The 27577-nt window shown below is 41.5% G+C and overlaps 1 protein-coding gene across 2 annotated transcripts in view, besides 1 other annotated feature; it reads left to right on the top strand.

The window, feature by feature from the left end:
- The window catches only part of MARCHF3 (membrane associated ring-CH-type finger 3), a 162845-nt gene that overhangs the window by 119582 nt on the left and 15686 nt on the right, over positions 1-27577 (top strand). The window contains exon 4 of one of the 2 annotated variants that reach the window (XM_011543131.4): positions 11711-11791. The exons of the other annotated variant lie outside the window; for it this stretch is intronic. Within the exon in view, the coding sequence (XP_011541433.1) occupies positions 11711-11791 (81 nt within the window). The remainder of the gene's footprint in view (positions 1-11710; positions 11792-27577) is intronic. 2 annotated transcript variants of the gene reach the window in all.
- Positions 14905-15514: an enhancer, noted in NCBI's record as "OCT4-NANOG-H3K27ac-H3K4me1 hESC enhancer chr5:126231155-126231764 (GRCh37/hg19 assembly coordinates)". NCBI's record gives its function as "activates a minimal SCP1, AML or CMV promoter by ChIP-STARR-seq in naive H9 embryonic stem cells {active_cell/tissue: H9 hESC(naive)}" and the evidence as "EXISTENCE:reporter gene assay evidence [ECO:0000049][PMID:30033119]".

The following is a 27577-nucleotide window of genomic DNA, read 5'->3' as shown; positions in this document are numbered from 1 at the left end:
CCCCGAAGCAGCCATTTTAGAGGCCTACCCTCAGGGACGCATTCTATTTCTCAGGGATGTTCCTTGCTGAGAAAAAGAATTCAGCGATATTTCTCCCATTTGCTTTTGAAAGAAGAGAAATATGGCTCTGTTCTGCCCAGCTCACCAGCAGTCAGAGTTTAAGGTTATCTCTCTTGTTTCCTGAACATTGCTGTTATCCTGTTCTTTTTTCAAGGTGCCCAGATATCATATTGTTCAAAAACACATGCTCTACAAACAATTTTGCAGTTAATGCAATCATCACAGGGTCCTGAGGTGACATACATCCTCCTCAGCTTACAAAGATGATGGGATTAAGAGATTAAAGTAAAGACAGGCATAGGAAACTGCAGTAAAGACAGGCGTAAGAAATTATAAAAGTGTTAATTTGGGGAACTAATAAATGTCCATGAAATCTTCACAATCCAAGTTCTTCTGCCATGGCTTCAGCCGGTCCCTCCGTTCAGGGTCCCTGACTTCTCACAATAGTAGATAGCAAAAAGGAGGAGCAGAGGTAACACATAAAAATACCATGACTTGTTCCCCTAAAATTTGTGCCTTGACTCCAGCCTTTTGCCATTAATGCATTTCTGGTTGACCAGTTTGCCAAGGAAGCCCATCTTACGACAAGCAAATAGCATGCTTGTAACATCAGTTTCTAGTGATGGAATATTTGCCACTAGGCTTTGAGACTCTCCTAAGACATGTATTCATAACATCCACCCTTGCCTGGAAAACTCGTGAAGTTATAGGTCAGCTCAACAATGTTGTGATTTAAATGAAACAGCCAGGAAATAGTGGGAATCTGGAGGAAAGGCCTTCTAGGATCTGATTTTTTCCTCTAATCAGGGAGCCACAGTGATTTTTCACAGTAGAAGTGATTAAGTTTCCGTATTCCTATTTCCTCTACACACAACCAGCTGATTGATAAGAACTGTATGAACAATTTAAAAGCTGTTCCCTGTGAGTCAGAGGTTTAGCTAAATTGAAACTGAGCATGTTTTCACACATAGCACTTACCCAGAATAATAGGATATAAAGCTAGGGAGATGAGGATTAAGGATTTTTTTTTCAAACTTTTTTATTTATTAACCTTTTTTATGAAGTCACTGGAGGACAATGGTTTTAAAGTGTGCCCAGAGAATAGGAACAGCTCCGGTCTACAGCTCCCAGCGTGAGCAACGCAGAAGACGGGTGATTTCTGCATTTCCATCTGAGGTACCAGGTTCATCTCACTAGGGAGTGCCAGACAGTGGGCCCAGGTCAGTGGGTGCGGGCACCGTGTGCGAGCCAAAGCAGGGTGAGGCATTGGGAAGTGCAAGGGGTCAGGGAGTTCCCTTTCCTAGTCAAAGAAAGTGGTGACAGACGACACCTGGAAAATCGAGTCACTCCCACCCGAATACTGCGATTTTCCGATGGGCTTAAAAAACAGCGCACCAGGAGATTATATCCTGTGCGTGGCTCGGAGGGTCCTACGCCCACGGAGTGTCGCTGATTGCTAGCACAGCAGTCTGAGATCAAACTGCAAGGCGACAGCGAGGCTGGGGGAGGGGCGCCCGCCATTGCCCAGGCTTGATTAGGTAAACAAAGCAGCCGGGAAGCTTGAACTGGGTGGAGCCCACCACAGCTCAAGGAGGCCTGCCTGCCTCTATAGGCTCCACTTCTGCGTGCAGGGCACAGACAAACAAAAAGACAGCAGTAACCTCTGCAGACTTAAATGTCCCTGTCTGACAGCTTTGAAAAGAGCAGTGGTTCTCCCAGCATGCAGCTGGAGATCTGAGAACGGGCAGACTGCCTCCTCAAGTGGGTCCCTGACCCCTGACCCCCGAGCAGCCTAACTGGGAGGCACCCCCAGCAGGGGCAGACTGACACCTCACACGGCCGGGTACTCCAACAGACCTGCAGCTGAGGGTCCTGTCTGTCAGAAGGAAAACTAACAAACAGAAAGGACATCCACACCAAAAACCCATCTGTACATCACCATCATCAAAGACCAAAAGTAGATAAAACCACAAACTTGGGGAAGAAACACAGCAGAAAAACTGGAAACTCTAAAAAGCAGAGCACCTCTCCTCCTCCAAAGGAACGCAGGTCCTCACCAGCAACAGAACAAAGCTGGATGGAGAATGACTTTGAGGAGCTGAGAGAAGAAGGCTTCAGACGATGGAATTACTCTGAGCTACAGGAGGACATTCAAACCAAAGGCAAAGAAGTTGAAAACTTTGAAAAAACTTTAGAAGAATGTATAACAGGAATAACCAATACAGAGAAGTGCTTAAAGGAGCTGATGGAGCTGAAAACCAAGGCTCGAGAGCAACATGAAGAATGCAGAAGCCTCAGGAGCCGATGCGATCAACTGGAAGAAAGGATACCATTGATGGAAGATGAAATGAATGAAATGAAGCAAGAAGGGAAGTTTAGAGAAAAAAGAATAAAAAGAAACGAGCAAAGCCTCCAAGAAATATGGGACTATGTGAAAAGACCAAATCTATGTCTGATTGGTGTACCTGAAAGTGACAGGGAGAATGGAACCAAGTTGGAAAACATTCTGCAGGATATTATCCAGGAGAACCTCCCCAATCTAGCAAGGCAGGCCAACATTCAGATTCAGGAAATACAGAGAACACCACAAAGATACTCCTCGAGAAGAGCAACTCCAAGACACATAATTGTCAGATTCACCAAAGTTGCAATGAAGGAAAAAATCTTAAGGGCAGCCAGAGAGAAAGGGCGGGTTACCCTCAAAGAGAAGCCCATTAGACTAACAGCAGATCTGTCGGCAGGAACTCTACAAGCCAGAAGAGGGTGGGGGCCAATATTCAACATTCTTAAAGAAAAGAATTTTCAACCCAGAATTTCATATCCAGCCAAACTAACCTTCATAAGTGAAGGAGAAATAGAATACTTTACAGACAAGCAAATGCTGAGAGATTTTGTCACCACCAGGCCTGCCCTAAAAGAGCTCCTGAAGGAAGTGCTAAATATGGAAAGGAACAACCGGTACCAGCCGCTGCAAAATCATGCCAAAATGTAAAGACCATCGAGACTAGGAAGAAACTGCATCAACTAACGAGCAAAATAATCAGCTAACATCATAATGACAGGATCAAATTCACACATAACAATATTAACTTTAAATGTAAATGGACTAAATGCTCCAATTAAAAGACACAGACTGGCAAATTGGATAAAGAGTCAAGACCCATCAGTGTGCTGTATTCAGGAAACCCATCTCACGTGCAGAGACACACATAGGCTCAAAATAAAAGGATGGAGGAAGATCTACCAAGCAAATGGAAAACAAAAAAAGGCAGGGGTTGCAATCCTAGTCTCTGATAAAACGGACTTTAAACCAACAAAGATCAAAAGAGACAAAGAAGGCCATTACTTAATGGTAAAGGGATCAATTCAACAAGAAGAGCTAACTATCCTAAATATATATATGCACCCAATACAGGAGCACCCAGATTCATAAAGCAAGTCCTGAGTGACCTACAAAGAGACTTAGACTCCCACACATTAATAATGGGAGACTTTAACACCCCACTGTCAACATTAGACAGATCAACGAGACAGAAAGTCAACAAGGATACCCAGGAATTGAACTCAGCTCTGCACCAAGCAGACCTAATAGACATCTACAGAACTCTCCACCCCAAATCAACAGAATATACATTTTTTTCAGCACCACACCACACCTATTCCAAAATTGACCACATACTTGGAAGTAAAGCTCTCCTCAGCAAATGTAAAAGAACAGAAATTATAACAAACTGTCTCTCAGACCACAGTGCAATCAAACTAGAACTCAGGGTTAAGAATCTCACTCAAAACCGCTCAACTACATGGAAACTGAACAACCTGCTCCTGAATGACTACTGGGTACGTAACGAAATGAAGGCAGAAATAAAGATGTTCTTTGAAACCAACGACAACAAAGACACAACATACCAGCATCTCTGGGACGCATTCAAAGCAGTGTGTAGAGGGAAATTTATAGCACTAAATGCCCACAAGAGAAAGCAGGAAAGATCCAAAATTGACACCCTAACATCACAATTAAAAGAACTAGAAATGCAAGAGCAAACACATTCAAAAGCTAGCAGAAGGCAAGAAATAACTAAAATCAGAGCAGAACTGAAGGAAATAGAGACACAAAAAACCTTTCAAAAAATTAACGAATCCAGGAGCTGGTTTTTTGAAAGGATCAACAAGATTGATAGACCACTAGCAAGACTAATAAAGAAAAAAAGAGAGAAGAATCAAATAGACACAATAAAAAATGATAAAGGGGATATCACCACTGATCCCACAGAAATACAAACTACCATGAGAGAATACTACAAACACCTCTACGCAAATAAACTAGAAAATCTAGAAGAAATTGATAAATTCCTGGACACATACACTCTCCCAAGACTGAACCAGGAAGAAGTTGAATCTCTGCATAGACAAATGACAGGAGCTGAAATTGTGGCAATAATCAATAGCTTACCAACGAAAAAGAGTCCAGGACCAGATGGATTCACAGCCGAATTCTACCAGAGGTACAAGGAGGAACTGGGTACCATTCCTTCTGAAACTATTCCAATCAATAGACAAAGAGGGAATCCTCCCTAACTCATTTTATGAGGTCAGCATCATCCTGATACCAAAGCCTGACAGAGACACAACCAAAAAAGAGAATTTTAGACCAATATCCTTGATGAACATTGATGCAAAAATCCTCAATAAAATACTGGCAAACCGAATCCAGCAGCACATCAAAAAGCTTATCCACCATGATCAAGTGGGCTTCATCCCTGGGATGCAAGGCTGGTTCAATATATGCAAATCAATAAATGTAATCCAGCATATAAACAGAACCAAAGACAAAAACCACATGATTATCTCAATAGATGCAGAAAAGGCCTTTGACAAAATTCAACAACCCTTCATGCTAAAAACTCTCAATAAATTAGGTATTGATGGGACGTATCTCAAAATAATAAGCGCTATCTATGACAAACCCACAGCCAATATCATACTGAATGGGCAGAAACTGGAAGCATTCCTTTTGAAAACTGGCACAAGACAGGGATGCCCTCTCTCACCACTTCTATTCAACATAGTGTTGAAAGTTCTGGCCAGGGCAATTAGGCAGGAGAAGGAAATAAAGGGTATTCAATTAGGAAAAGAGGAAGTCAAATTGTCCCTGTTTGCAGACGACATGATTGTATATCTAGAAAACCCCATTGCCTCAGCCCAAAATCTCCTTAAGCTGATAAGCAACTTCAGCAAAGTCTCAGGATACAAAATCAATGTACAAAAATCACAAGCATTATTATACACTAACAACAGACAAACAGAGAGCCAAATCATGAGTGAACTCCCATTCACAATTGCTTCAAAGAGAATAAAATACCTAGGAATCCAACTTATAAGGGATGTGAAGGACCTCTTCTAGGAGAACTACAAACCACTGCTCAAGGAAATAAAAGAGGATACAAACAAATGGAAGAACATTCCATGCTCATGGGTAGGAAGAATCAATATCGTGAAAATGGCCATACTGCCCAAGGTAATTTACAGATTCAATGCCATCCCCATCAAGCTACCAATGCCTTTCTTCACAGAATTGGAAAAAACTACTTTAAAGTTCATATGGAACCAAAAAAGAGCCCACATCACCAAGTCAATCCTAAGCCAAAAGAACAAAGCTGGAGGCATCACACTACCTGACTTCAAACTATACTACAAGGCTACAGTAACCAAAACAGCATGGTACTGGTACCAAAACAGAGATATAGATCAATGGAACAGAACAGAGCCCTCAGAAATAACGCCGCATATCTACAACTATCTGATCTTTGACAAACCTGAGAAAAACAAGCAATGGGGAAAGGATTCCCTATTTAATAAATGGTGCTGGGAAAACTGGCTAGCCATATGTAGAAAGCTGAAACTGGATCCCTTCCTTACACCTTATACAAAAATCAATTCAAGATGGATTAAAGACTTAAACGTTAGACCTAAAACCATAAAAACCCTAGAAGAAAACCTAGGCATTACCATTCAGGACATAGGCATGGGCAAGGACTTCATGTCTAAAACACCAAAAGCAATGGCAACAAAAGCCAAAATTGACAAATGGGATCTAATTGAACTAAAGAGCTTCTGCACAGCAAAAGAAACTACCATCAGAGTGAACAGGCAACCTACAGAATGGGAGAAAATTTTCCCAACCTACTCATCTGACAAAGGGCTAATATCCAGAATCTACAATGAACTCAAACAAATTTACAAGAAAAAAACAAACAACCCCATCAAAAAGTGGGCGAAGGACATGAACAGACACTTCTCAAAAGAAGACATTCATGCAGCCAAAAAACACATGAAAAAATGCTCACCATCACTGGCCATCAGAGAAACACAAATCAAAGCCACAATGAGATACCATCTCACACCAGTTAGAATGGCAATCATTAAAAAGTCAGGAAACAACAGGTGCTGGAGAGGATGTGGAGAAATAGGAACACTTTTACACTGTTGGTGGGACTGTAAACTAGTTCAACCATTGTGGAAGTCAGTGTGGCGATTCCTCAGAGATCTAGAACTAGAAATACCATTTGACCCAGCCATCCCATTACTGGGTATATACCCAAAGGACTATAAATCATGCTGCTATAAAGACACATGCCCACGTATGTTTATTGCGGCATTATTCACAATAGCAAAGACTTGGAACCAACCCAAATGTCCAACAATGATAGACTGGATTAAGAAAATGTGGCACATATACACCATGGAATACTATGCAGCCATAAAAAATGATGAGTTCATGTCCTTTGTAGGGACGTGGATGAAATTGGAAATCATCATTCTCAGTAAACTATCGCAAGAACAAAAAACCAAACACTGCATATTCTCACTCATAGGTGGGAATTGAACAATGTGAACACATGGACACAGGGAGGGGAACATCACAGTCTGGGGACTGTTGTGGGGTGGGGGGAGGGGGGAGGGATAGCATTGGGAGATATACCTAATGCTAGATGACGAGTTAGTAGGTGCGGCGCACCAGCATGGCACATGTATACATATGTAACTAACCTGCCCATTGTGCACATGTACCCTGAAACTTAAAAGTATAATAATAAATAAATAAATAAAATAAAGTGTGCCCAGGATTCAGTGTAATCTCCAGGTGTACCATAGGGAGCAGAGTTGAACTGCTATGAAGAAACCACTTTGTACCTTGGCACTTGCTATTTAATAGATTCAAGAATTCACTTAGCTGCTAATATATACAGATAGATTATATAGAGATTTTATATATATATACACACACGAGACTTAGGTGGAGACATTGCTGGACTGTTATTATAATGGATTTGGTTTGGTTTTGATTTTTAATATTCATTGAAGTAAAACTATGAGTTTTGGTTTCAGAGCATTCACTTTGATCAGCAATATAAAGTGATTCAAGAAGATTTATAGGCATGAGGACCACCACTCCATTCTTTATATGAAGGCAGACAAGCCCCTTTGTTCATTCTAACCCATGAACGCAGCCTAGTGAGTAAGGTAGTTGGACTAGTATCATAGCATGTCATAAGTGCATTGTGTTGGATCAATACTTTTATTGAGGAATTTGAATGCCTTTGGGTGGGACATGCTCTCTCTATTTCCCCAGGCCTTGCCTTTTGCTTGTACACACCTAGCCCTCCACCATCTTGCATTCCTTCCTGCATTTACAGTTGAGGTTCCAGGACTGGGTGACTTCTCTCACCTTTAAAAGAGTTCTCTAATACACTGTGCATTTCTTTCTACCAACACCTCATCTTCCTTTCAGAGTATTATAGACCGAACCTACTGATCTCCTTCCTATTGTGCCCACATTATAAGTGAGCTGAAATGACTGATTCAAAATCACAAGGTAAATGAACCTCTAAAAGACAGTGTACCAGCATGGACAGTGGTGAGAATACAATTATAACATCTTGTGCCTGAGTATGCTGTAGTGTCAGCCAAGCACTTTCTTGACCTCTGACAAGGTCGCTGAGCAGACCATCCCTCAGGCCACCTGCCTCCACGTGGACTCGTGGAACCATACTTTGTGCCAGCAGTGGAGATGACATTGTCTGATGACCACACCCCAACAATCCTTGATCCTGCAGTCGTCCAGTCTTGAATTTGTCTCTTGTTTTGGTGGCAAATTTGACAGCTGCTTTGTTACTTAAAGCTTAAATACAAAGAAGCTGTTTGAAGGTATCTATTAAATTCACAGCTTGCTTCATTAAAAATCACTTCATTAAAAAAGCAAACCACCAACCGAAGTGTTCACATGACCGTGCCAGATGGAAGTGAGCTAACTGCTCAGTGTCTGTGTTTTTAGCCCATCCACTGCTGGTAAAGGATTAATTTGGAGGGAAAATCCAGTTCTGTGTATAAAAAGAATTCCATAACCAGATTCTGTTATTTTCAATTGTTCTGATCCTTGCTGTGAACTTGGGTTGGATACAAATGAGAACCCACATTCTCAAGAGGACCTCTGTCCACCTTGATAGCAGCCCTCTTCATCTTTCCAAGGACTTCTGTGAGCAGAAACACAAAGATGCAAAACACCAATAATTGCTTCATATAACATGTTCATTTTAATCTATGTTTTTAAAAATACAGAAGAGGACAAAGAATACTATAACAAACAGGTGTGTATTCACTACCCAGAATTAACAAACGCCTTCAAAGGAATAGCCTGTTGGGGCCAGGGAGAAAACCGTGGTCTTCACTGATTCATCCCTAGGTGTTCTCAAATAGGGAGGAAATCCAGCCAGGTTTTCCTTAAGCACATGTGGACCAAGAATAAGAGGAAGTTAACAGAAGAGACAGATCATCTTGAAAGATTCCGGACCCTTTCAGCTAACTCCAAATGTACAAACAATTAGTACAGCAAATGTTGACAGCTATGGAGTTCACTTCTTTGAAAGGCAGACAATTAGAAGTTATTCCATGGGTGTTGGGGTGGTGGAAGTCAAGGTGTCTTGGGCTGCTGGCAGAAAAGCTTTGTAAGGGGGAGTCTGAGAGAGGAGAATTGAAATGTCACTGAATAACTACAGCTGGTAATCACCTTCATCCTAAGTCCTGCTGAAATAACAAGGCACAATTAACTCTCAGGAATTGCCCTGTGTTGGGTACAAGGCACCTGGTTGAGCTGAAGGGAGACATAAATTGCAGAAGCCCTGGTGCAGATTTCAGAAGCAGAGTTATAGAATATGCATAACGCTCCCTGCTGAGGGCTCCTGCCAGCCCTCCACAAGCATCTTCAGTTTTAAGTGTCAACAACTGACTTTTAACTCCAAAGAAAGAATACATAGTTTTAAATGACTAATGTGTGAAATATTGAGAACAATACATGATTATAGCTAATCCCTCACACTGCCTAACAATCAGTTGTAAACGAGTGAGCAGAGAGAAGTATCTTCAGTTAGGCACAGGGAGATCGGTGGTTGTTTATTCACTGAATGAGACCTGCTATGCCTGTTTGTGCAAAGAATTTTACTTTCCAGAATAGGCACAGATCTTGATTCCAGTCCAGTGGCATTAATTAACGTGAGTCCATCTATGTTTATCAAGATGTTCACACCCCAGAGTTTTTTCTTCTTAAATTTTGTTTACCCATTTCTGAGGCAAAGGAAAAATATTACATGCAATATTCTTTGCAATCTAGTTTTACAGAGTTAAGGGGTTAGATTTGCACTGTGATGGATATGTGAGAAGAAAGTTATGTTGTGCTTGTATACACTTTATATAATCATCTTATTTCAATGTCTCAGGTATCCTTCTCATAGCAGATATTATCGTATTCTGTAGATAAGGAAGCTGCAACTCAGACCTAAGTCACTCTTCATTGATCTTAAATACTTTCAGCCTCAGGGCTAGTAAGTGGAGAAGGCAAAAGAATAATGCAGGTGGTCCAGGCACGGTGGCTCATGCCTGTTATCCCAGCACTTTGGAAGCCTGAGGCGGGTGGATCACGTGACTAAGATCAGAAGTTCGAGACCAGCCTGACCAACATGGTGAAACCCTGTCTCTACTGAAAACACAAAAATTAGCTGGGCGTGGTGGCAGGCTCCTGTAATCCCAGCTATTTGAGAGGCTAAGCCAGGAGAATCACTTGAACACAGGAAGCAGAGGTTGCAGTGAGTTGAGATCATGCCACTGCAGTCCAGCCTGGGCAACAGAGTGAGACTCCATCTCAAAAAAAAAAAAAAAATTAAAGAAGAATCCAGGTCTATCTCCAAAGCCCACGTTCTTTCCACCACACCTAGTGGCCCAGTCCATTCTGGCTACTATAAATGAAATACTGTAAACTGAATGGCTTATAAACAACAGAAATGTATTTCTCACAGTCCTGGAGGCTGGGAAGTCCAAGGTCAGGGTGCCGACATAGTTGGGTTCTAGTGAGGGTCCTCCTCCTGGTTGCAGACTGCCAACTTCTGTCTATGTCCTCACATGGTAGACGGGAAGAGCTAGTTCTCTGGAGTCTCTTTTGTAAGGGCACAAATCTCAGTCATGGGTGCTCCATCCTCCTGACCTAATCACCTCCCAAAGGCCCCACTTCCTAATACCATCACCTTGAGGGTTAGGATTTCAAAATATGAATTTTGGAGGACACAAACATTCAGACCATTGCACCTGGCTTCCTTCCTGGCTCTAAAGTACTTTCTTGCATTTGCTCATTGGCATGAACCTATGCACACATAGAGCTGAGGGTTTCTTTGCCGATAAGCCTTTCCAAGAAACTACATGTGCTTCAGAAGGGGGAAGATGGAAAAAAAAATTATGAGTAAAGCCCTTATTTCCTCTTGACACCAGATTCGTCTATTAAATCAGAGAGTTAGCAAGGAGGGAAGGATGAAAAGGTGGAGCACAGAGGATTTTTAGGGCAGTGAAACTAGTCTGCACTATAATGGTGGATTCATGTCATTATATCAAAACCCATAGAACGTTCAACACAAGAGTTAACTCTAATGTAAGGCATGAGCTTTGGTGATGATGTGTCAAGGTAGGTTCATCACTAGTGACACATGTACCACTGTGGTGTGGGCTGTTGACAGTAGAGGGGACTGTAGGGGACAGGGGGAGACAGGGATATATGAGAACCCTCTGTGCTTTCCATTCAATTTTGCTGTGAACCAAAAACTGCTCTAAAAAATAAAGTCTGTTTTAAAAAACACCCTGAGCTGTGCCAGATCAAGTGCTGGAAGAGTAGAGTGGCACTTCTTTCCTGTGTCTCTTTGTACTCTAGTTGGAAAGCAAAGCTTTTGGCTACAGCACCCTATCAGAAGCCAGAAAAATCATTCTTCATTTTCAAGTGACTTTACATAGCCTTTCTTTTTTTCTTCTCATTTAGTTACTCTTCCTCTGCATTTGAGTCTTCAGTTTACTGAGTCATTATGTTACCAATTCCTTAGGAGGAATCTTTTAATCCAAAATTGTCAGAAACCTTTCCCTCCTTTCACGAATGGTTGTGAAGGTTAATCAGTCCTCATGTGGCTGTACACACTTGTGAGACAAATTTCTTTAAAACTACCATCAAGATAATTCAGATTGGTAAACCTTATTTTGCAACCCAGAAAGGAAAACACTGATTTTTCTCTTCAATTATTTGTGGCTCTCCCTCAATTCTTTGCCTCACTTTTTTTGACAGGTGCAGCAGATTTGGGGGAAGATAAGAAAACACCCCTGTCAGGTCTTCAGGCTTTGCCGTCCTCCTCATTCTTCATGGAATGTATGTTTCTGTGGCGTGCCTCACCACTGCCCGCCTCCTTTCTTGAAGAGATAGGAACGCTGTGAGATTGTTTGGGATAAAGCGGTTTCTTTGCAATCCATCATTACAGAGTTAGAGGGATAGATTTACACTGTGATGGATATGTGAGAAGAAGGTTATGTTGGTGCTTGTAAAACACGAAAGAGAAATAATATGCTTTTGAAGCTTTTAGTTTGGATACTAAAAAAAAAAGTTTAATTCTTAGATGTGCCACTTATGAAAATGTATAATCTGTTTGTGAAGATTGAAGTCAGATTACAAGAAGAAAATGAAATGTTTTCTACTCATTATTTCATCATTGCTTCACCTCTAGCGATGCTATTATAAATAGAAAGTTGGAATAAGTAGTGAGGTTCAAAGTCTTTTAGGGCTCCGAGGGAAAATGGCTAATATAACTTATATGAAATGCTGGCACGTAGGAGCAGCAGAAAAGTTGTAAAATAGAATTTATAGGCATTTAAGGACTTACATCTGGGAAGAGTCAGTAAAGCAGAAATTGGGAGATGAAGGGAAAATATGCACCATCCTAGAAAATAAGGCGGCCCCTTCCTTACAATTCACCGCTTCCAAAGGCTTGCTCTTTGCATTATGTAGCTGGTAGGTGATGGGAGAATAGGCATGAGAGATGGAGGTAATAAATGGCTCCAATATTTTTCTAAACACTGGTTTATCTGCTAAAAATCTGTGACTTCAATGTTGAATTCATTTATCAAAATATACCTATGTCAGCTGTTTTTAAGACATGCCTTATATGTATCTGAAAAATCACTCCGTTAGACGAAGATGTGGCAAGGCAAAGGAAATACCTACATAATAGAATTTATGCAAGATGGAGGGTTTCCTTAGAGAAATCTATAGGATACTTCAGATTTTTCTTAACTAAAGGGTCTTCCAGTCTCAGATTTTTTGAACAGCTTTATCAAGATATAAAAATTCACATACCATACCATACAATTCACCATTTAAAGTGTACAATTTCATGGTATTTTGTATTTTCACGGTTGTATAGTCATCACCACAGTTGATTTTAGAACATTTTCATCACCCAAAAAGAAACCTCATACACTGCAGCCTTCACTCTCCAGCTGTCCCTTCTCTGTCCCCCACCCCCAGCCTAGGCAGCCACTAATCTATCTTCAGCCTCTATGGATTTGCCTGTTCTGGACATTTCCTATGAATGGAATCCTACAGTATGTGGACCTTTGTGATTGGCTTCCTTCACTTAGCATAATGTTTGCAAGCTCTAGTCTCAGATTTTATAGAAAATGTATCTTAACCTTCCTTGCTAAATTTTTTATTTCTGATTTTTTTTCCTCAACATCCTGGTTACCTTAATATACTCCTCCTGCTACTACTACTAGTAATTATTTCCTGAGGCCTTACCCTGTGCACTGTTCTGGGTGCTCTAATGGTCTCCTATTTGTGGATATAAATGAGGAAACTGGCCCAGAGGCGTCAATGGTTTCTTCCCCTCTTAAACTTTGGCTTTCTCCCTGTCACTGTTCATCTTTTACTTTCTTCTTTTATGGATATCATTTGCATATTGAACTTTTTATATTATCTGAATTTTTGCCATTCTTGCTCAATAAGAGCCCTCTCCTTCCTTTAAGCCCATTAATTTAATTTGGATGCTTTCTTGATTCTGTTGTCCTATGTTATCTAAAACTATACAGTTAATTTTTTTAATCTCATATTTTGCAACCTAGGTTGATTTTTTAATTTTTATTTGAGGAGTAAGGAGAGGGTCAGGGTCTAAGGATAAATGACAATTCTCAGAAGGCATCCAAATCCGCATCCTTAAATTTCTTGGCCAGGGGCGGTGGCTCATGCCTGTAATCTCAGCACTTTGGGAGGCTGAGGCAGGCGGATCACCTGAGGTCGGGAGTTCAAGACCAGCCTGACCAACAAGGAGAAACTCCGTCTCTACTAAAAATATAAAATTAGCCGGGCGTGGTGGCACATGCCTGTAATCCCAGCTACTCGGGAGGCTGAGACAGGAGAATCGCTTGAACCCGGGAGGCAGAGGTTGCAGTGAGCCGAGATTGTGCCATTGCACTCCAGTCCAGGCAACAAAAGTGAAACTCCATCTCAAAAAAAAAAATTCTCAAACTTCAGAAAGTTGGATTGAACCAAGGATTGTCTCAAGGCAGTTTAGGGAAATGGTCCAGAACAGTGCCTCTTACCCTTTCCTGTATCTCAGATATGTGTGAGAATCTGATAAAAGCTTGAACTGTCTCCCCCAAAATAGACACACATCCATTGTCCAAATACAGGTTCAAAGGGGTCACAGATTTTCTGAAGCCCTATAACCTAAGTCAAATACCCCTAACCTAGAAAGGTAATTATGTAAACTATAAAACAGAGATTTTTCTAAAAGTGTCTCTTGAACCCTTAAAATGCCTTAAGTATGAAAAGTGAGAGAAGGTCTCAACACTTCACTGCATATTCCCTCTTCCATGAGAAGGCCATAGTATACTTCTGTGGGTTCCACGACAGTAGATATGATTTGTTAGTCTTAAAGGGAGAGCTGGTGCTTCAGTTATACATATAGACAGAGACTGGGCTAGTTATTAACTTGGGTTCTTTAATGGTTGGCTTGGTTCTGCCACAGGGACACCTAGGGGTTGCATGTCTCAGGATCACTCAAGCTAAAAATGTATATGTGTTTCCCAGTTGGAGCAGAGCTTTCCCGCAGACCCCAACTCTATTCATCCAGCTGGTTTCCTGCCTGCCCTTCTATAAATGCCAGTCCCTGATGTCATGAATCATTTCATTTGAGCTGTTACCCCTTACCCCTTAAGAATGTCTTTTCTGGGAGGAGCCAAGATGGCCGAATAGGAACAGCTCCAGTCTACAGCTCCCAGCCTGAGTGACACAGAAGACGGTGATTTCTGCATTTCCATCTGAGGTACCGGGTTCATCTCACTAGGGAGTGCCAGACAGTGGGCGCAGGTCAGTGGGTGCACGCACCGTGCGCCAGCCGAAGTAGGGCGAGGCATTGCCTCACTTGGGAAGCGCAAGGGGTCAGGGAGTTCCCTTTCTGAGTCAAAGAAAGGGGTGACGGACGGCACCTGGAAAATCGGGTCACTCCCACCGGAATACTGCGCTTTTCCGACAGGCTTAAAAAACGGCGCACCAGATTATATCCCGCACCTGGCTTGGAGGGTCCTACACCCACGGATTCTCGCTGATTGCTAGCACAGCAGTCTGAGATCAAACTGCAAGGCCACAGCAAGGCTGGGGGAGGGGCGCCCGCCACTGCCCAGGCTTGATTAGGTAAACAAAGCAGCCCGGAAGCTCCAACTGGGTGGAGCCCACCACAGCTCAGGGAGGCCTGCCTGCCTCTGTAGGCTCCACCTCTGGGGGCAGTGCACAGACAAACAAAAAGACAGCAGTAACCTCTGCAGACTTAAATGTCCCTGTCTGACAGCTTTGAAGAGAGCAGTGGTTCTCCCAGCATGCAGCTGGAGATCTGAGAACGGGCAGACTGCCTCCTCAAGTGGGTCCCTGACCCCTGACCCCCGAGCAGCATAACTGGGAGGCACCCCCCAGCAGGGGCACACTGACACCTCACACTGCAGGGTATTCCAACAGACCTGCAGCTGAGGGTCCTGTCTGTCAGAAGGAAAACTAACAAACAGAAAGGACATCCACACCAAAAACCCATCTGTACATCACCATCATCAAAGACCAAAAGTAGATAAAACCACAAAGATGGGGAAAAAAACAGAACAGAAAAACTGGAAACTCTAAAAAAGCAGAGCGCCTCTCCTCCTCCAAAGGAACGCAGTTCCTCACCAGCAACGGAACAAAGCTAGATGGAGAATGACTTTGAGGAGCTGAGAGAAGAAGGCTTCAGACGATCAAATTACTCTGAGCTACAGGAGGACATTCAAACCAAAGGCAAAGAAGTTGAAAACTTTGAAAAAACTTTAGAAGAATGTATAACAGGAATAACCAATACAGAGAAGTGCTTAAAGGAGCTGATGGAGCTGAAAACCAAGGCTCGAGAACTACGTGAAGAATGCAGAAGCCTCAGGAGCTGATGCGATCAACTGGAAGAAAGGGCATCAGCAATGGAAGATGAAATGAATGAAATGAAGCGAGAAGGGAAGTTTAGAGAAAAAAGAATAAAAAGAAAGAAGCAAAGCCTCCAAGAAATATGGGACTGTGTGAAAAGACCAAATCTACATCTGATTGGTGTACCTGAAAGTGATGGGGAGAATGGAACCAAGTTGGAAAACACTCTGCAGGATATTATCCAGGAGAACTTCCCCAATCTAGCAAGGCAGGCCAACGTTCAGATTCAGGAAATACAGAGAACGCCACAAAGATACTCCTCGAGAAGAGCAACTCCAAGACACATAATTGTCAGATTCACCACACATAATTGTCAGATTCACCAAAGTTGAAATGAAGGAAAAAATCTTAAGGGCAGCCAGAGAGAAAGGGCGGGTTACCCTCAAAGGGAAGCCCATCAGACTAACAGCGGATCTCTCGGCAGAAACCCTACAAGCCAGAAGAGAGTGGGGGCCAATATTCAACATTCTTAAAGAAAAGAATTTTCAACCCAGAATTTCATATCCAGCCAAACTAACCTTCATAAGCAAAGGAGAAATAAAATACTTTACAGACAAGCAAATGCTGAGAGATTTTGTCACCACCAGGCCTGCCCTAAAAGAGCTCCTGAAGGAAGCGCTAAACATGGAAAGGAACAACCGGTACCAGCCGCTGCAAAATCATGCCAAAATGTAAAGACCATCGAGACTAGGAAGAAACTGCAACTAACGAGCAAAATAACCAGCTAACATCATAATGACAGGATCAAATTCACACATAACAATATTAACTTTAAATGTAAATGGACTAAATGCTCCAATTAAAAGACACAGACTGGCAAATTGGATAAAGAGTCAAGACCCATCAGTGTGCTGTATTCAGGAAACCCATCTCACATGCAGAGACACACATAGGCTCAAAATAAAAGGATGGAGGAAGATCTACCAAGCAAATGGAAAACAAAAAAAGGCAGGGGTTGCAATCCTAGTCTCTGATAAAACGGACTTTAAACCAACAAAGATCAAAAGAGACAAAGAAGGCCATTACTTAATGGTAAAGGGATCAATTCAACAAGAAGAGCTAACTATCCTAAATATATATGCACCCAATACAGGAGCACCCAGATTCATAAAGCAAGTCCTGAGTGACCTACAAAGAGACTTAGACTCCCACACATTAATAATGGGAGACTTTAACACCCCACTGTCAACATTAGACAGATCAACGAGACAGAAAGTCAACAAGGATACCCAGGAATTGAACTCAGCTCTGCACCAAGCAGACCTAATAGACATCTACAGAACTCTCCACCCCAAATCAACAGAATATACATTTTTTTCAGCACCACACCACACCTATTCCAAAATTGACCACATACTTGGAAGTAAAGCTCTCCTCAGCAAATGTAAAAGAACAGAAATTATAACAAACTGTCTCTCAGACCACAGTGCAATCAAACTAGAACTCAGGGTTAAGAATCTCACTCAAAACCGCTCAACTACATGGAAACTGAACAACCTGCTCCTGAATGACTACTGGATACATAACGAAATGAAGGCAGAAATAAAGATGTTCTTTGAAACCAACAACAACAAAGACACAACATACCAGCATCTCTGGGACGCATTCAAAGCAGTGTGTAGAGGGAAATTTATAGCACTAAATGCCCACAAGAGAAAGCAGGAAAGATCCAAAATTGACACCCTAACATCACAATTAAAAGAACTAGAAATGCAAGAGCAAACACATTAAAAAGCTAGCAGTAGGCAAGAAATAACTAAAATCAGAGCAGAACTGAAGGAAATAGAGACACAAAAAACCCTTCAAAAAATTAACGAATCCAGGAGCTGGTTTTTTGAAAGGATCAACAAGATTGATAGACCACTAGCAAGACTAATAAAGAAAAAAAGAGAGAAGAATCGAATAGATGCAATAAAAAATGATAAAGGGGATATCACCACCGATCCCACAGAAATACAAACTACCATCAGAGAATACTACAAACACCTCTACGCAAATAAACTAGAAAATCTAGAAGAAATGGATAAATTCCTCGACACATACACCCTCCCAAGACTCAACCAGGAAGAAGTTGAATCTCTGAATAGACCAATAACAGGATCTGAAATTGTGGCAATAATCAATAGCTTACCAACGAAAAAGAGTCCAGGACCAGATGGATTCACAGCTGAATTCTACCAGAGGTACAAGGAGGAACTGGTACCATTCCTTCTGAAACTATTCCAATCAATAGACAAAGAGGGAATCCTCCCTAACTCATTTTATGAGGCCAGCATCATTCTGATACGAAAGCCAGGCAGAGACATAACAAAAAAAGAGAATTTTAGACCAATATCCTTGATGAACATTGATGCAAAAATTCTCAATAAAATACTGGCAAAACGAATCCAGCAGCACATCAAAAAGCTTATCCACCATGATCAAGTGGGCTTCATCCCTGGGATGCAAGGTTGGTTCAATATACGCAAATCAATAAATGTAATCCAGCATATAAACAGAGCCAAAGACAAAAACCACATGAGTATCTCAATAGATGCAGAAAAAGCCTTTGACAAAATTCAACAACCCTTCATGCTAAAAACTCTCAATAAATTAGGTATTGATGGGACGTATCTCAAAATAATAAGAGCTATCTATGACAAACCCACAGCCAATATCATACTGAATGGGCAAAAACTGGAAGCATTCCCTTTGAAAACTGGCACAAGACAGGGATGCCCTCTCTCACCACTCCTATTCAACATAGTGTTGGAAGTGCTGGCCAGGGCAATTAGGCAGGAGAAGGAAATAAAGGGTATTCAATTAGGAAAAGAGGAAGTCAAATTGTCCCTGTTTGCAGACGACATGATTGTATATCTAGAAAACCCCATTGCCTCAGCCCAAAATCTCCTTAAGCTGATAAGCAACTTCAGCAAAGTCTCAGGATACAAAATCAATGTACAAAAATCACAAGCATTCTTACACACCAGCAACAGACAAACAGAGAGCCAAATCATGAGTGAACTCCCATTCACAATTGCTTCAAAGAGAATAAAATACCTAGGAATCCAACTACAAGGGATGTGAAGGACCTCTTCAAGGAGAACTACAAACCACTGCTCAAGGAAATAAAAGAGGATACAAACAAATGGAAGAACATTCCATGCTCATGGGTAGGAAGAATCAATATCGTGAAAATGGCCATACTGCCCAAGGTAATTTACAGATTCAATGCCATCCCCATCAAGCTACCAATGCCTTTCTTCACAGAATTGGAAAAAACTACTTTAAAGTTCATATGGAACCAAAAAAGAGCCCGCGTCGCCAAGTCAATCCTAAGCCAAAAGAACAAAGCTGGAGGCATCACACTACCTGACTTCAAACTATACTACAAGGCTACAGTAACCAAAACAGCATGGTACTGGTACCAAAACAGAGATATAGATCAGTGGAACAGAACAGAGCCCTCAGAAATAACGCCGCATATCTACAACTATCTGATCTTTGACAAACCTGAGAAAAACAAGCAATGGGGAAAGGATTCCCTATTTAATAAATGGTGCTGGGAAAACTGGCTAGCCATATGTAGAAAGCTGAAACTGGATCCCTTCCTTACACCTTATACAAAAATCAATTCAAGATGGATTAAAGACTTAAACGTTAGACCTAAAACCATAAAAACGCTAGAAGAAAACCTAGGCATTACCATTCAGGACATAGGCATGGGCAAGGACTTCATGTCTAAAACACCAAAAGCAATGGCAACAAAAGCCAAAATTGACAAATGGGATCTAATTAAACTAAAGAGCTTCTGCACAGCAAAAGAAACTACCATCAGAGTGAACAGGTAACCTACAGAATGGGAGAAAATTTTCCCAACCTACTCATCTGACAAAGGGCTAATATCCAGAATCTACAATGAACTCAAACAAATTTACAAGAAAAAAACAAACAACCCCATCAAAAAGTGGGCGAAGGACATGAACAGACACTTCTCAAAAGAAGACATTTATGCAGTCAAAAAACACATGAAAAAATGCTCACCATCACTGGCCATCAGAGAAATGCAAATCAAAACCACAATGAGATACCATCTCACACCAGTTAGAATGGCGATCATTAAAAAGTCAGGAAACAACAGGTGCTGGAGAGGATGTGGAGAAATAGGAACACTTTTACACTGTTGGTGGGACTGTAAACTAGTTCAACCATTGTGGAAGTCAGTGTGGCGATTCCTCAGAGATCTAGAACTAGAAATACCATTTGACCCAGCCATCCCATTACTGGGTATATACCCAAAGGACTATAAATCATGCTGCTATAAAGACACATGCACATGTATGTTTATTGCGGCATTATTCACAATAGCAAAGACTTGGAACCCACCCAAATGTCCAACAATGATAGACTGGATTAAGAAAATGTGGCACATATACACCATGGAATACTATGCAGCCATAAAAAATGATGAGTTCATGCCCTTTGTAGGGACATGGATGAAACTGGAAAACTTCATTCTCAGTAAACTATCGCAAGAACAAAAAACCAAACACTGCATATTCTCACTCATAGGTGGGGATTGAACAATGAGATCACATGGACACAGGAAGGGGAATATCACAGTCTGGGGACTGTTGTGGGGTGGGGGGAGGGGGGAGGGATAGCATTGGGAGATATACCTAATGCTAGATGACGAGTTAGTGGGTGCAGTGCACCAGCATGGCACATGTATACATATGTAACTAACCTGCACAATGTGCACATGTACCCTAAAACTTAAAGTATAATAATAAAAAAGAAAACATACCATTACCTCAAAAAAAAAAAAAGTATGTCTTTTCTGAAGACAAGTCTGTGAGTTTTATAGCAAAGTGATCTACAAACATTAAACATAATCAAAGGAAGTAAGACCAGCAAAATAGAGAACATTGCCCTCTGCTCAGATAACACAGCGAGGTGTCTTCACCTGGTAATCTGATATTCTGGGCCCCATACCCAGTGAAAGATATCCAAAAAGTCCAGGGGAGTGGTTAACACAGATGCCTGCACAGAAAGTGAGAGATATGAGGATGCTACTAATCTAGATGTGAGGATGCTACTAATCTAGATGTGAGGATGCTACTGAGGGACATGTCTGAAATCTTGAAAATCATGAACAGCTTAGACAATGTGAACAGGGAGTGCCTCACACATTCCAAATTACTTAAATGGTGGTGGGATCCCTTTGAAATTCAAAGACAGAGTTTAGAACAAAAATAAGGAGATACCACCTCCATCGTGGTGCATGAACTTAAGCCGCTGCCTCAAGTGGAGCCTTGAATGATTCCTAATCCATTAGGTGCTAGGATGTATCTAATGTCAGCCAAGTCAGCCAGGCCCTCGTAAATATGTGGGGCCCTTTTAGGCAGCAAAACATTGGACTATAGGGACTGCAAATCCAAGAGTTCCTCTGTTTTCATGGTCCTTCTATTTGGAAGAAATTTCCCCTTTTTCAAAGTGTTCCCATTCTTGCTTACTTTGGGAGCATGTGGTGACATTGTCTGCTCTGTCGTCTGTTTTCCGTGTGCATTGTATTTCCTTGAAATCCCTCCACCATACTCTGCTTGGATAGTTTTCTTACTCACATTCTCACTACACCTGAGGGACACAGATATGTAAGTGTAGTACCATTTTGAAAACCTGGTTTTGAATGTTATTTTTTCCTCTCTATTCCTTCAAACATCCCTATTATCAAAATAGGAATTTATTGTTCATATTCATGTTATTTATCGTATTCTCATCTTTTGTCTGGTGCTCCAGTGGGGGCTCTTATTTGGTACACTGTCCTGGTACAGTGTATCCCATGATCATGTACTTCTGCTGGAAGTAATTATTCAAATGTTCAGAAACCCAGACTCCAACAGCAGTCCAACGGAGTGGTCATTAGACACCAGTAACCTTCCAGTCTGGGGGCCAGTAAGAATTAAAATGAAGCAAGATCAGGGGAATGAGAGCTGCTATTTGTGTTTAAAAAGACCATACAGGGCCAGCCACAGTGGCTCACACCTGTAATCCCAGCACTTTGGGAGGCCAAGGCGGGTGGATCACTTGAAGTCAGGAGTTCAAGAACAGCCTGGCCAACATGGCAAAACCCCATCTCTACTAAAAGTACAAAAATTACCCGGGCGTGGTGGTGCATGTGTGTAATCTCAGATACTCAGGAGGCTGAGGCACGAGAATAGCTTGAACCTGGGAGGTGGAGGTTGCAGTGAGCCAAGATTGTGCCACTGCACTCCAGCCTGGGTGACAGAGCGAGACTCCATCTCAAAAAAAGAAAAACCACACAGTATGAATTTATTGTTCCCAAAATAAATAATATCTACTTTTGGCACTATGCATTTTATCAATTTATTCTAAAAACTTCTGTTTCCTTGCTCTCCATTCTGTCTTGGTTATCTCATGTTTCTTGCTTTACATTGATCAGATATGCCACATAATTCTGAAGTATCTTCTCATATTTCAGATAAGCAATCTCCATTTGGCTGTGATCACTCCTATGCTGTAATGATCTAAAATAATTAGAGATTATTTTTATTTTGTGTATGTCTGAAGTTACAAGTGAATATATAAAATGATTTGCCATCTAATCCTGTTGTGCCACTGATCTAATCCTTGGAAAAATAAACCATTGGTGTGAGTGTGTGTAGCATTTGTTTAAATAATGTCAGAGCCAAATTACAATGTCCCAGGCATAAGCATAGTATTTATGGAGCATTATAGCCCGTTAATTGGCTTATTGGCCTAAGTCCTCCAGGGAGCATCACAAATCTCCAGGGTGTCCTTGAATATGACTTTATGCTTCAGCCAGATCACAGCTGTGAGTGCCAGAGTAACTGCTGTGCACATGTGTGTGGCAAAAATTACTGTATTTAATGGGAAGAGTCCAAGCAAATGGTCTTATATATGCATTTCAGTTATATTCATTTGATGTCTACCCAAAGTGATCCTCTCTGGCTTAGAAGGATTTATTTCTTCAGCTAATATTTATCAAGCACAAATTAGATATTTAAGAAACAGGAACGTAGCTGTGGACAGGCCAGAAGAATCTCATGTACTAACAGAGCTTCCCTGCTGGGGAGAAAGGAACAGAATGAACAAGTAAATAAATAAACAAGATTGTCTCTGGTAATGGTGGCAAAAGCTATGAAGGAATAATGGAGGCTTTGTGGCAAAGAAGAACTGGGGTGAGGGTTTGTGTGTGCTGGTTTGTGAAGGCCCATCTGAAGAAGTGTCATTCAAGCAAAGGTACAGCTGATGAGAAGGAACCTGCCATGGGTAGAGGAGTTCCAGGCAGAGGAACGGCCACTGTAAGGCTCTGAGGTAGGAGCTAGTCTGGTATTTCTGAGGCAGGAAGAAACACTGCAGGAGAGCATTGCGTGAGAGCTCAAAGGAGCTGGGTACCAGGTGCTTAAACTTTTCTGGACCCTTTGGCAATGTGTTGAAGCGCATGGATCCCTTCTCAGAATCATGTTCTTAATTGCATAAAATACACAGGAATGCAAAGGAAGCCATTTACACTAAAATACAGGTATCAAAATATTTAAAAGACACACTTGTAATATAAAATGTAAATGATTCTTTAGCACTTTTGTAGCAGATCTAATAACTAACATTAAAATAATGATATTTCAAGATATCTGCAACAATTGTAATGGGATACGAAATATCTGTATTTCTGTTTGTACTGGTGACAAAGTCGCAGGTACTGCTGATGCCACCTAGATTTTCTGCATCGCTCAATGGAATGTTCTATTTCAATTAGAGTTTATGAAAATAAAGATGTGATTTTTTTTTTCCCATTCAAAATCATAGATCCTGTGAATCCTATCTGTGGACTCCAGGGTACAAACACCTGGGCTAAACTATGCAGGGCTTTGTAGGCCATGGTAAGGTGTTAGGCTAAGGGTGATGGGGAGCCATTGGGAAATTTTAAACTAGACAAGTGTCATGATTTGCTGCTTTATAGAAACTGGATTCTAGGATAACAGGAGTGGAAGGGTGAGAAAGTAAGGAGACTATTACATGGTACCATCTTTTAGGTAAAAAATGAAGAGGGTTTGGATGGGAATAGTGGTGACCAGGGAGAGCAGTGCAAACATACTCAAGATGTATTCTGGAAGAATTGAGAGCATTTGCTGATAGACTGGATATAGGGGGAAGGGGAATGAAGAAAGGGAGAAATAAGGATGAGACTGAGGTTGTTTATGAGAGCCACCAGGTGTTGGTGTTCCCACATGCTGGTATGGGCCACCCTGAGAGAGGAATCTATTTGTGGGGGAGTTGGAATGGTGGATGGTGAATCTCGTGTTCTGCAGTGGATCTTGTAAAGCTTGTCATGTTTGCTGCACAAATGGAGACATATCAAGTAAGCAGCTGGGCACACAAGCCTGAAGCCCAGAAAAGGGTTGTCCTGAAATCCTTTAGTCAAGCCTGATGTTTTGAACTAAAATGAGAACTTATGAGTTCTATAGCATTGCTCTGACAGTAAGAGAGGCTGCTTCACCACTCCATCAAAGCCACAGCATCCTTATTCTGTTGAGGTAGACTCCCATTTTTGACTCCACAACAGAGTTAAAGAACTTCATAAAGTCACACAGCATTTGGGGGAACCACAATGCGGGGCAACTGGAAGTGGTGTCCTGTCCCCTGCCTCCGAGCCCATATCTTATCCCCAGCAAGGTGCTGCTTCTCCAACTTTATCTGTTGCAGGAGGGAACAAAAACTGGGATCAAGATTTTATGTAGTGTGAAAGTAAGTGAAAAGAAAGAATTGAAAGAGCATCAGGCTGGAGGTTTCAAATACTGGCACCTCACCATGTAACCTTAAACAAGGAACTTAACCTCACTGAGTCTTCATATCCTAATCCAAAATGGGAATAATAACAACACCTGGTGTTCCAAATTCAGTACAAATATCTGGTAGATCGTAGGCACTCAGTACATATTTTTGGTTGAATTGGAGTTGTATAACTTTTAAGAGGATATGTGGTATGTACCCTTCTCAATTATTTCAAGGTAGGTTTCTTCTAGAAAAAAAAAATTATATATATATATATATACATAGTAATTGTGACTAAAACAGCACAAGGGATCTTGAATAATTTACTAGGTTTCTCATACGACTTCATGACCTATGGAAAAATAGATGTTCCATGGTTACTTACATCTTAGGAAAAAAAGTTTGAATCGAAACTACAGGTTTTTCATCTTGTAACAACAAAACAATGTGTAGATATTTATCTTGGAAACCTAAGAAGAGCAATATGTAAGAAATGCTATCTCTAGTCTAGAAGGCTAAAAGCAATTAACTTGACAATTTGATGTTTATATGCCAACAAAGTTTCTCCTTTCCAATCAGTTTAACTAGTCTAACTAATACTGTAAGATCATTTCTGGTCAGACCTAGTGGCATCTCAGATGTTTATTCATTCATTTTCCTTTTTTCTTTTTTTAATCAAGATATATTTTTTAAATCAAGATTTTTTTTAAATCAACACTCTTGTTGCCCAGGCTGGAATGCAATGGCACAATCTCAGCTCACTGCAACCTCCGCCTCCTGGGTTCAAGCGATTCTCCTGCCTCAGCCTCCCAAGTAGCTGGGATTACAGGCATGCACCACCACGCCTGGATCATTTTGTATTTTTAGTAGAGATGGGGTTTTACCATGTTGGTTAGGCTGGTCTCAAACTCCTGCCCTCAGACGATCCACCTGCCTCAGCCTCCCAAAGTGCTGAGATTACAGGCGTAAACCACCACACCCAGCCTATTCATTCATTTTTGTTAAACATCTACTATGTTCCAGTGCTGTTCTTAGATCAAGGTATATGAAATAAACAAAAATAAACAAAGTTGAAGTGGGTAGCAATACATGGGCAACTAAACAGACAACTAAAGAAATAGCATCGTTTCAGAGAGTGTTGTGTGCTCTTGAAAATACAGCTGAGTAACATTCACAGGTGCTGGGAGTGTTTTCCATGAGAAGGTGCCGTTTGAGCTGAGACCTAAATAATGAGAAGCTGAAAAAGAATATGCGCAAAGGCTGAAAATGAAGCGAGAGGTAGCAGGAGACATGGGAACTGGTAGGAAGGGATGAAGTCAGGGCTTATAGTACCAGGTAGACAGTTTGGACTTTATTATGACCACTGGAGAGTTTTGAGCAAAGAAGCAACCCAATTTGATTTATATTTCTAGACGCTCACCCTGACTATTGTTTTGGGACTGGACAGCAGGGTGGCCAGAGTGGAAGCAGGGAGGCTATTGCCTCCCAAGTAGGAGATGATGGCGACCTAGCCTGGGATGTCAGTAGTGGGGCAGAGAGAAGCAGCCAGATTCCAGGTGTATGTTGCAGGCAGTGCCAATAGGACTTACCATGTCCTGGGCAAGTCCCTTAGCCCAGGAGGAAAGACACAGAATGGAACAGGATGACTAAGTGACAGGGGTGGATGGTCATTTACTGATATGGAGGACACTCAGCGGAAAGGAGTTATGAGGTACGTGCTAATCAGGAGTTCTGTTTTGGACAGATTAAGTTTGAGTTGTCTGTTAGTCATCTAAGCAGAGATGTTGACTGGGTCGTTGAATGTGCACGTCTAGAGGTTTGGAGAGAGGCCAAAGCATGAGCAAATACTCTGTAAAGTTCTCCTTTGAGATACTTTGTTACAAGTCTGGTTTGATGGATATCTGAAGCATGCATCTCCTAAGGTCCCCTGGGTCAGAATTTCCTTCTGTGCATCTTCAGCTGTCCTGGAAACTCATTGACAGACTGTGGAGTTCAGGGATTTAAAACACTAGTAGGAGTTTGTTTTTGTTCTCTGCTTTGTTTCAAGTTAACTGAAAAGCATGATTTTCAACTTTCATCTTCAATTTTAAATCATGCAAGAAACCTATCACTTACCTTCTGATCATTACACTGCCCCCCTCACATTCCAGCTCCCCAGATAAGCGAGAATTTAGTGTAGAATGTGTTGGGCTTACAGAATAAGACCCATCTCAAGAAAGGCAAGGTTAATAACTCTGCCAAGTGTCAGCCTAACAGGAGACTCAGGCAGATAAGCCCAAGTGAGTAAACACTGTGAGACTATGCCTTCTCTTTTTTTCCTTCTAGCTCCATAAATTTATTATGGTTTTCTATCAGTTTCTTTCATTCTTGTGATGGTTTCTCATTAAGGAGATTCATGGGGAAGGTTGTTATCGATCAGAGCTATTAGCCACCAGAGTGTAATCTGGTTTTAGTACAAACTGACCTGCACAGTGTCCTGTCTACCTTGGGGATTTAAGCTGATTAACTCAGAGCCTGGGAGGCAGAGTCTAAAGTTCTGTAACACAGCACCTCTGGCACCCCCTCTTCCCCACCAACCAGTAGGGGATTTAACATATTGACACTGTAATTAAATCCAAATCCACACTTAACCCACCTTGAAAGTAGCCACTGGTACCTGGCTTACCTTAGATGTACATTCACAGCCAGTGAATGATGCTGTGGCAAGGTAGTAGAGTGCTGCTTTAATCCCCTCTTCTGTCTCAGGCCCTTCAGTGCTGATTACGGTGGGGTTTCTAGTTTGTTTATTTATTGTACTTATTTCCAAGAATTGATCAACCTCATGGTTCAGAAATAAGTGATTAGAATGAGATTTCTACAGAAAAATAGGCA

The sequence above is a fragment of the Homo sapiens genome, chromosome 5 (assembly GCF_000001405.40).
Source record: "Homo sapiens chromosome 5, GRCh38.p14 Primary Assembly".
Classification (NCBI taxonomy): Eukaryota; Metazoa; Chordata; class Mammalia; order Primates; family Hominidae; genus Homo; species Homo sapiens.
The sequence above is the reverse complement of the archived record's forward strand: the minus strand, read 5'-3'. Positions and strand labels throughout refer to the sequence as shown.